This window comes from Homo sapiens, chromosome 11, assembly GCF_000001405.40.
Source record: "Homo sapiens chromosome 11, GRCh38.p14 Primary Assembly".
NCBI classification, from domain to species: domain Eukaryota; kingdom Metazoa; phylum Chordata; class Mammalia; order Primates; family Hominidae; genus Homo; species Homo sapiens.
Genome location: NC_000011.10, coordinates 55,661,445 through 55,672,522, shown reverse-complemented (window position 1 = coordinate 55,672,522; position 11,078 = coordinate 55,661,445). Strand labels below are relative to the sequence as shown.

General features: G+C 36.9%; 1 protein-coding gene across 1 annotated transcript; it reads right to left on the bottom strand.

Annotated features, from left to right (window-relative positions):
- Positions 1-6,426: 6,426 nt before the first annotated feature.
- OR4C6 (olfactory receptor family 4 subfamily C member 6) lies at positions 6,427-10,322 on the bottom strand. The gene is made up of 2 exons (NM_001004704.2): positions 10,275-10,322; positions 6,427-7,398 (listed from the first exon to the last, which is right to left on the bottom strand). Exon 2 carries the CDS (start codon positions 7,354-7,356, stop codon positions 6,427-6,429), a length of 930 nt encoding a protein of 309 aa, NP_001004704.1. The 5' UTR covers positions 7,357-7,398; positions 10,275-10,322.
- Between the last annotated feature and the right edge of the window lie 756 nt (positions 10,323-11,078).

The window sequence follows — 11,078 nt, the reverse complement described above, 5'->3', positions numbered from 1 at the left end:
CCTAGATCAGATATGGCAACCATATCTGGACTCCACAGATACTAAATTATTAATAATGCAAAACTGTTCAGTGCAATAAGATGTATGATGTAATAAGTTCAGCATTTTCTAAATTGTGTAGCTGTATTACTAGTGATATTTAAGATTATTTGATGGTTAACAGATATAGCTTTAGAATACATTGTATACTACACTAAGAGTATAATTCCTGTTTCAATTTAGCTCGGTATCTTTGATAACATTATGAAGGGAAAGTCAAAATTGATCATTTTCTGTCAATATCTCTTTAATACTTTTTAGTCTCCTTTTTTAACACAAAGACATCAGGTATTATCCTCAAAATTATGAAAAAGTTATACTAGTCCTATAACATTTGATAACTTTTTCTTATTTCTTTAAATATATTGTCATAGTTAACAGCATTCTTTAATATAAATTTATATAAAATGGAAGTGATCTTGAAAAGAAATATTAAATAATAAGTGTGTCTAGCTATGAGCATGATTTAATAATTAAAATACCCACCTAATCTAACCATATTCTTCTCAGCATAGAAGGAACCAATTACAAAAAACTGAGTGAATTTCCTAGATCAAAGAACTAATAAACTTTAGAAGTTTGAAAACTAGATTTTCTAAATCTTACTCAGTTTATTGCTTGCTCCAATAAGGAAGAAGGCATGTATTAGAGAAGATAGCAGTGGGAGGAACTACCATACTTCTCAGCTTATGACAGGTAATAGACTCTCGGATCTTTGTAAAACATACCACTATAATTATAAAACTAAATGTATGATGTAGCAGCTCTCTGCTATGGAATCATTACAAAGTATTAGGCTTTCAATTTAACTACTATAACACTTAATATTTCATCCTGTACACATATGGTAATAAGTTATGATTTGTGGAGGTAATGCCGGATTGGCAATGGGAAAAACTTCAATATTTTAAAACAATATTCTCAAATTTCAGTCTCAATGTTCCATACCAATAGAGTAAAAAGACTTGCCTTATACTCTTTTCAAATAACATGAATAGAGAAAAATTCATTTAATCTTCAGAAACTGTGCTTTTAGTTTTAAAGTCATGAAATACCAAGTCTGCCAGTAAAAAAAAAAAAAATAAGAATTTGGATTAATCTATAAATATTTGGATATTTATATACATAATTTTTTTTCACTGAACTACTACACAATTAAATATGTTATTCTTTAAGAAACACTCATTACTATCCTGGTACCAAAACAGTAATTGTTGTTCCTATGGATTGATGCAGTCTTATGTCTATTTTGATTAGGAATTTATTCTAAACCAGATGTCGCATGCTTTGAACATAATAGAAATTCATTTACTATTTGTGGTAGCTGTGTTATTGAATACTTGAAATTTTAAAGAGTTTTAACTGGAGATCATAATACTAGGGATTGCTAATTTCTCTAAGAATGTTTCACTTTAAGTTTTCATTTAAATGATAATTTCAAAACATATATAAGTATGTTCTGAGTCATCTTACAATCAATTTATAACCAGGCATAACCACATAATTTCAGTGTTCAAGTGTAATTGCTATATTGATGGCTTTAAGCACTGCTATATTGTGATTGGAGGATAAGAAGCAAGCAGGCATGAATTATAGTCCATTATAAACTCACATTCTGGCTTACATTGAAGGGGCTTTTTTTTTTTTTTTGTCAAAATGAAGCAGTCCATGAGAGGCTGTCTCTCTCTTGGAATTAAAAAATTCAGTGTTTCCCTGCAAATTGAATACTTAACCCTTACCCACAGTTGCCCCAGGGTGAAGCAACAAGAAGATGAAACACTGGCAGGTAATTCCTGAAACTTTCTCCCATTATATACATTTTCATGAACTTTAAACATTATTGGTATGAGTTTTGATAGTTAACGCAATGGAAAAATACTCAGAATGTTGAGTAAGGAATTTCACTTTTGTCTGTAACATGAAATATCAGAATTTCCTCCTTCTATCCTCCTTCTAGGAATACAGGATTGTAAAGAGAAGAGTGCTGCAATGAACGTACATGTGCATGTGTCTTTATAATGGAACAATTTATATTCTTTTGGGTATATACCCAGTAATGGGATTGCCTGGTCAAATAGTATTTCTGTCTTTAGGTCTTTAAGGAATTGCAACACTGTCTTCCACAATGGTTGAACTAAGTGACACTCTCACCAACAGTGTATAAGTGTTCCTTTTCCTCTACAACCTCACCAGCATCTGTTGTTTTTTTACTTTTTGATAATAGCCATTCTGACTGGTGGGAGATAATCTCATTGTGGTTTTGATTTGCATTTCTCAAATGCAGCCATACAAAATAACAAGATCATGTCCTTTGGAGGGACATGGATGGAGCTGGAGGCTATTATCCTAGCAAACTAATGCAGGAAAAGAAAATCAAATACCGTATGTTCTCATTTATAAGTGGAAGCTAAATGATGAGAACTCATGAACACAAAGAAGGGTATAATAGACAGGGGTCTACTTGAGGGTGGAGGGTTGGAGGAGGGAGAGGGGTAGAAAAAATAACTATTGGGTACTGGGCTTAATACCTGGGTGATGAAATAATCTGTAGAGCAAACCCCCATGACACAAGTTTACCTATGTAACAAATCTGCAAATATAATCTTGAACTTAAAATAAAAGTTAATAAAAGAAAAAAGGGAAAGAAAAGAATGGTCTCATGAATATTCTGACTTCTCTTCTACTTGGAGTAATGCTACATTGTATAAATGAAAAACACAATGACCTAGTGCTATATAGAAATTTTATTCTTTTTTACTCTTTTGCTTGCAACAGTCCCATGTAAATGGTCCAGGCTGGCAGCGCATATCCTCCTTTTCATTCAGAGACTCAGGTTCCTTTCAAACTCTTGCTTGATCACCCCTAGGGCCTTCAGGGTCAAAGTGTGAGCCACATGCTGGAATTATTGCACAATCTTGGGCCCCTCCCTAGACCTGATGAATTGTAATCTGAATTTAACCCTGGGTATTTCATGTATACATACCAATCTGAGAAGCATAGCCACATGGCATGGTTATCTATAACTGTGACACCACCAGCCTGGTATTAGGTGTCAAGAAGGGGCTATGATCTTGAGGAACACACGTCCAACATTGTGGATTTCAGCCTGCAAGTTACACATATTCCTCTGATTACATCCAATTGACAAAAACTTAGTCACAGAGCTACACCTAGATGCATAGGGGCTGAGGAAGGTAGGCACTGCTCAGGTGGTTACCTTTGTATTGCTGCAGAGGAGGGAAGAATGGGCTTTAGTGGACAATTAGCAGTCTCTGCCACAGGTACCTGTCACCAACAGCGTCCACAGAAATATTCCCTACTCAAAATTAAATTCAATTTACTGACTCCCTATTATTGCTGAGAACTATTTTAGGCAGCAGTGAAAAGGAAGCCCTGTCTTTATAGCCCACATTCTTATAGAATATGCCATGTCAAAAGCCCAATAGCAAGTCCAGGTGTTGTATGAGTGTCTGGGATTTGAAAAAAAAAATACATGAATGTTTGTTTAACTAAGGACTGCCTATTTTTTTAAGAAAATGTTTTAACTTTATATTTGAAATACCCTCCAGCAATATAAACTATCTTTTTCCAGGATAGCTTTAATTTCCCAAATCCTTTTTCATTATATCTTGTGGATCTCAGGTCAATTATAAATAGAATTCTCCATAATTTCTCTTATGTGAGCATCTTCTTTATTGTTTTGTTTTCCTGATTCTCCCCTCCATAGGCTGATTCTGCTTAAGTGGATATTGTTTTTCTCCCACAGTTTATATGCCAATGAACCTGAAAACAAGATTTTATTGCCATCATTTTTTATTAATTTTAGCTCATACCCCTTCTCCAGTACACGATTTTACCTATTAAATTCAATTAATTTGTCTATCTCTTCCACTTATTGTACCCAAGGTCTCGGTACAGATGAGTTTACAAGCCTGGAGCTAAACTGGGTTTAAAATTTGGTTTAGCGATTTATCAAGCAAGTAACTTAATCTTTCTGGATTCAGATGCTTCTCTGGCAAAATGATTGATAGCAGTAGTGAACTTATAGATTTGTAATGAGGATTAAAGGAGGTAATGTTTATAAAGTGCTTAGAAAAGTGCCTGGGATATGATAAGTGCTCTATAGATATAAGTCACTATTTTTGGTTTTATTTGCATCTGCTACCACCTTTGTCTGTCACATCAAAAGTGTTTAAATAAACTGAAACATTTTAAAGTATTTTTTGAATCTTCCCCATTGTTCAAAAGCAGGGATCATCTCTATGAAACAACCAAGTTGAGGTTCTCAAGTCATATTGCTTAATAAAATTGGTTGAAAGAGTTCAAACTTTGGAATGAGAAAGACACATTTAAAACCTGGCACTTCACCAACACATTATACTGGAGACAGTAACTCACAGGAAATATTCCATATGCTCTGCTATATTTTATGCTCCCTTTCAGTTAGGTGGAAAAATCTTAGAAATTATCTGCCTGGCCACTGTAGATATATGAAATATGTCTTCATATTGGAAATGCAAGACATGTGAGTGGAGATAATGTGTTTCACATTTAGGCTGAGTCAATAAACATGCTCAAGTCTCCAATATCTTTTGTCTTCTGCCAGGGCAACTGAGGTGTCTGTCTTTCAGTTACAAAATGATGATGTGTTTTCAGCTTGCCCCTATGTTACTAGGTCAGGCAAAGTCCTAAATTGCAAGGAACATGTATGTTGAGTGGTGTTGTTCTTTAGTCTGTCTTGAGTTTCACTCCACACAGGCACACCTTAGTATTCTTAGTATTCAGCAACTATCTCAGGCTGCACTGGACCCTGTGAAGACTGCGTAGCTCCTTCCTCTCTAGTACTCTGCTCCACAGATTACAGCTTCTTCTGCTACCCTGGGCTATGATCTCTGTTTCAACTGTGATGACATGTTGGCTTCTCCGTGCCTAGACCATGGTCCAGAAGTTTCCCCTAGCAGAAGCCTGCGGCAGTCCTAGCACTCCCCTAATTAGTTTCCCTTCTCTAAGGGACTCCCCAGTTCTATATTGCCTAATATTAAAAACAGGTGTCTTATATATTTTGTCTAGGTTTCAGTTACTTATAGCAATAGGGGAGACCAATAACTCCATTGTCTGGAAATTTTAAGCACTATGTTTTCTTAAAAAAGAAAAAATCAGGCTTATTTCATGTTATCTTCTAAAGATGTTTAATATTAATTGCACAAATGATAAACTACTGCACTTGCCTTACTTATCAAAGGAGAACATTACAAGGGAGTACAGTGACCCCTCGGTGTCTGGTTCCAGGGCCACCGTGAATAACGAAATCTGTGGATATTGAAGCCCCATATATAAAATGGCAGAGTATTTGCATATGCCCAGTGTACAACTTGTTGTAGACTTTAAATCATCCCATGATCACTTGTAGTACCTAATACAAGGTAAATGTTATATAAATAATTGCTATACTGTATTTTTAAGTTTGTATTATGTTTTATCGTTATTTTGTCATTTTTTTGGTTTTGGGTTTTTTTTCCCCAAATATTTTTGATCTGTGATTGGTTGATATTGAACCCGTGGATGCAGAGGGCTGACTGTATATGGTTGTCTTTAAACACCACTTCTCTATCACTATCTCCATCACTATCTCCCATGCCCCCACCTTCAGTGTAACTAGATTTTTAAAATATTTTTAGCTTACTCTGTATCTTTCCTTCTTTGTTTCTGGTGTATCCTACACAAATAAAATCCCATAAGTAGTACTTAATTATTTACTTTGTGAAATACTTTTAAATATCTCTTTTTCAAATAGTCATTTTCCTTATACAATTTATTCACCTATTGATTCAAACTTCTAATCACATCACTCATTAAATTATTGAATATATATTATATTATTGATATTTGTTTCTAAGACAATGGGAAGCTAGGGAAGGGTATAAAGCAGTAAAGTATCATAATATCTAATTTGCACAGAATCTGAATCATAAACCCAGTTTTACAATTTTAAAAGCTTCCTCTCTGCCGGGCACAGAGCTCATGTCTGTAATCCCAGCACTTTGGGAGGTAGAGGCAGGGGAATCACTTGCGCTCGGGAGTTCAAGACCAGCTTTGGCAACAGGGTGAAATTCCATCCTACTGAATATAAAAAAATTAGCCGGGTGTCATGGCACGTGCCTGTAGTCCCAGCTACTGGGGAGGCTAAGGCAGAATAATCACCCAGGAGGTGGAGACTGCAGAGCCAAGATAGTGCCACCGCACTCCAGCCTGGGTGACACAGTGAGACTCTGTCTCAAAAAAAGCTTCCTTTGACAGCCACCGAGGAATGGACAGTTTTAGCTCTTACACATTTCTGAAAGAATGACTTCTCCTTTTGGGAAATACATGATGTTCTCAGCATTGCAGTTATTTCCCAGCCAAAGCCTCCCATTTCATCCAGAGTTTCTTCATGGCACTTTTCACCTCTGCATTCCTCAGTGTATAGATCAAGGGATTTAACATGGGTGTGATGATTGAGTCTGACACAGCCATTGCCTTGTCTATGGGGTGAGTGACCACAGGCCTCATGTACAAGAAAATACAGGGGACAAAGAACAATACAACCACCGTGAGGTGGGAGCTGCAGGTAGAGAGGGCTTTGTGCCGCCCTTTAGAGCTGTAAGACTTCAGGGAGCATAGGATGACCGTGTAGGACGCAATTAAGATAAGAAAGATGGCCACACACATCATCCCACTGTTGAGGGTAACTAAGAGGCCCAGGATGTGGGTGTCCGTGCAGGCAAGTGTCAACAACTGAAACAAATCACATATAAAGTGATCTATGATATTAGGACCACAGAAGGGTATTTGATACATGAAGAGAAGTTGTATCATTGCGTGCATAAATCCCCCCACCCAAGCCCCTCCTACCATTAGGCAGCACACCCGTGGACTCATGATGATCGTGTAGTGCAGGGGCTTACAGATGGCCACGTAGCGGTCATAGGCCATCACAGTGAGGAGGATGATCCCCACACCACCAAAGAAATGCTCCACAAACAGCTGGGTGAGGCAGCCTTTGAGAGAGATGGTAGTGCTCTTGGAGAGGGTGTCTACAATCACCTTGGGGGCAACGACAGATGAGAACATGACATCCAAAAGGGACAAGAAGGTAAGAAAAAAATACATAGGTGACCTCAGACTCTGACTTGTGATAATAGTTACCACAATAAGTAGATTTTCCAGCACTGTGGCTACATACATGACAAGAAACACAGCAGAAAATATTTTCCACAGCTCCAGGTTCTCTGTGAGACCCAGAAGAATGAATTCAGTCACATTGTTTTGATTTTCCATTTCTCAGGTGTTGATATGAGTTCCAGCTGAGAGTTGAGAATCCTAAATAAGCAAGATATGATTTATAATTAGTGACTAATTTGGCTTCTTGTATTTCCAGGACCTCAGGGAATTTGTTCTTTGTTTTTACCCATGTATTCTCCATCTAGGCATTTGACTTCTAAGAATGTGCTAAATAAATAATTTAAAAGGGAAATACTTTATTTATGCAAGGCTTCCCCAAGCCTTTTCTCCTCCCTTTCTAAATTGTGTTTCTATGTGAAATAGATTTTTTCCTCCTTGTCCTACCTTTATAATAGTTATTATTAATAGATAACTTTTTTAGCACCTACCTCACCTTGGAGGCAATTCCTTATTCCAGGCATTAGAATAATTCTATGATTGGCTTTGTTTTACAGAAACAGGAACGTACTCTCATACAGTTTAGGAACCTTAAGCAAGGTCACATAGCTCTTCAGTAGTGAAGCTAGAATTTGGACCTTATATTCTGATGCCGGAATCAGTACCCTCAAATATCAATACAGCTTCTCTAGTAATTATGCTGTGAGATTTATCATTCACCAATCACTATGCTAAGTATATTACAATTATTATCCTGCTTATCTTAAAAATAATGTGATGAAGTAGGTTATTCTTGTGCTTTTTAAAAAAATATTGATTCTTTTCCAATTGTGTGCTTTTCTTCTAAATTTTAAATGATCATCATATACCTAAAAGTAGTTACTATATAATCCCTGACTTCATTGTTCAGTAATGAAGATTATAAACCATCATGGTTCAGCAAAACTCCAGATCCCCAATACAACTGACTTGAACCTTGAATTAGCCTGAGTCATTCCTTTCAGTTTCCTCTGTTTCCTAAATGGAACAAAGGATTTCAGAGCATAATGACAACAACTAAGCAATTAGCTTTTAGGCTAACAATGCTGCTGGGCACTATGCCAGATATGTTAGCCATATTATTTCATTTAAACCTCATGATACCACATGAGGTAGGTACCTATACTACTCCCATCGTAAAGAGAGACCAAAGCCCTTAGGAGTTAAATATCTTGCACGAGATTATATAACTATTTTGTGGTGGAGCTGGCATTTTGCTCACACGGCTTCGATTCATACCTAGTATATCCCACCACATGAGAAGAGAAGAATAGATTGTATTTCAGGGAAGTTACTACTGCAACCAAGAGAAAAACCTGCAGTAAAGAATGCCTCATATTACTAGGGACTATAAAGCAGACCTGGATGCCACATCTAAGAAATTTTGCAAAAAGCAAAGCTTCACATTGATATTTGGATTATGCCCCTCTGTTAATGCTAAGAAGTCACTCCTGCTTTTCAGTAGCCCACTCCACCCCCATCCCTTACACTGAATGCAGAACAACCACAGGAAACTGTGGAAGTGCCATATATTACTTAATCTCATCCTCTCCTCCCTAGCCCCAGGACTGAGTACTTTCTTGCAACAATCCTTGTGAAGTTAAAGGAACGCTGGCTTGGGAGTCAATAAATGACAAGTAGATTTTATTCCACTTTGCATCACTAACTTAATCTGTATTTGAGCATGCTGCTGGCATCTCCGAAACCTGGTTTTCTCATCTGCAGTATAAGGATGGTTTCCTAGATGAGTATCAGCAGGACTGGCTCTGTCCTCTTCAAACACAAACACTCAGTTGTTATTTGCATTAATTGTTTATGTCTCTGGGTAGGATTTCCTTAGAGGGGTTGTTCATTTCATGTTCAGAAAAATGAAAGCCGCTATTCTAGAATATATATGCCCTGTCTGTCCTTAAGTTTGGGACCTAGTATGACCCTGTGTTGATACGGAACAGAATTGAACTTTTCCAACTGACATTCAGGTCTCATCACCAGCCCCTTTTCTCTTACTGTTTGGACTTCATTTCTCATGTGCTTCACTGTATTTATTCCACCATCAGTCCCACTTACTTCCTGCCAGACTCATACCCTGTTATTTTTTTCCATACTTAATCTTCTGTTCAAAGGGTATGTTCCTGAATTCAGACACAGCAAACCTACCTCTAAGTCCTAGCCAGGCTACATACTGGCTTTGTAATCTCAACCTCCCCAGTCCTCAATTTCTGCAACAGCACAATTAGTGAAAGAGAAGCCATAGCTACCATGTTTGTATTACTTACTGATTATGGGCAATGACTAAACATCTTTTTCTCATTTGATTATCATGAACGGCCATATGAAATAAGTATTATGACTGGATTTTCTGAAGCAGCAACTGAGGCTTAGAGAAATTGCATAGCTGCCTCACAGTTTCTTGCAGGCATGTGACTAACTCCGATGCCCAGGCTACCAACTCCTTTGCCTCACAGCGCCCCAGTATTTTCACCTGATGGCTCACAAAACTGCTGTGAAGGCTAATGGAGGTAATACCCATAAAGGGTGGGAGTGCAGTATTCGTGTTGGTTTTCCTGATCATGTCACATGTCTGTAAAGTCCAGGCTTGCCTAGTGCCTCTGTCTATGCCCTCAGTCAACCAATTCTCCCCACTGCCTACCGCCACTTTCACCAGTCTGAATATTTCTCCACCCACTCACAAGATGTGTTTTCTATATATCATTACTTTATGTTTATTACATGTTTCTCTTATTTCCATAAGCAAATGCTTAAGAATTGCTACTTCTTCCACATATCTCAGAGTTCCTGGGAATAGTAAAGTTGCAGTGGACATCAATATCATTTATCAATTGGAAGGAAACTGCAGTGAGCAGTGGGACATAGATAATGCTGGTGCCAGCCCATCCTCCATGTGTGAAAGTAAATCTCTTCTAGAGTCTGGTTGCTATTTCCCTATCCAATAAGCTCAATGATGACATTTTCTAACTGTCATCTTTTACCCTGTGTATTCCTAGACAATTCAGCCTACATCAATAATTAAACTGTACCTTGAACTTCCAGTTCAATCTTGAATCACACCATCAGCCACCTTCATGGCATGTTCTTGCACGGTAGGTAGTAAGGAATTCTTTTTTAAAGAGCTGTTCTAGGAAAGACAGAGGCAATTATAATTAATTCTTCATAGTTCCCTCACTTTTCCTACTAATTTAAGTAGACAACAGATAATCCAAAAAATTGTCAAATGTGACCTATTTTCTTAAATAAAGGGCAGGTAAAATAATGACAATAGAAATAACTGTTGAATAGAAATAACTGAACTGTTTTCATAAAGAAATGAAAGAAAAGAAATGATTTAAGCCTTAAAGCTAGACTGTGGCTAAGATAAAGTAAGACCAGGGGCTACTCCCAGCAGGTGGAGCAGATGTACAAAGGCCCAGAGGAGGGACAAAGGGACTTTGTGCAGTGTAAAACACAGAGCAAGGAATGTGAGTCACATACACCAGGTTCTAATTTTGACTTCTGGAACACTTTTCAATTTATTAAGGATGACTTATTCTTTCATATGTGCATTTGTACTTAGAAATATTAAATTAGGATTTTGTATATGCAATTTAGTAATTACACATCAATAGGTCCCAATACATACACATATATACTCTAATTTTAATAAATATTATTGATAGCACTGCATGTCTCTATATGAAGATCTATATTATTTATATTTTCTGTTATTTTAGCTATGCTGCATTGAAAATCTTCATAAGTTTGTGTATATGGTATGTGTGCATGTGTGTGTATATATATATACACACACACATTGTTTGTATATGTACATGTTTATATGTATCTAT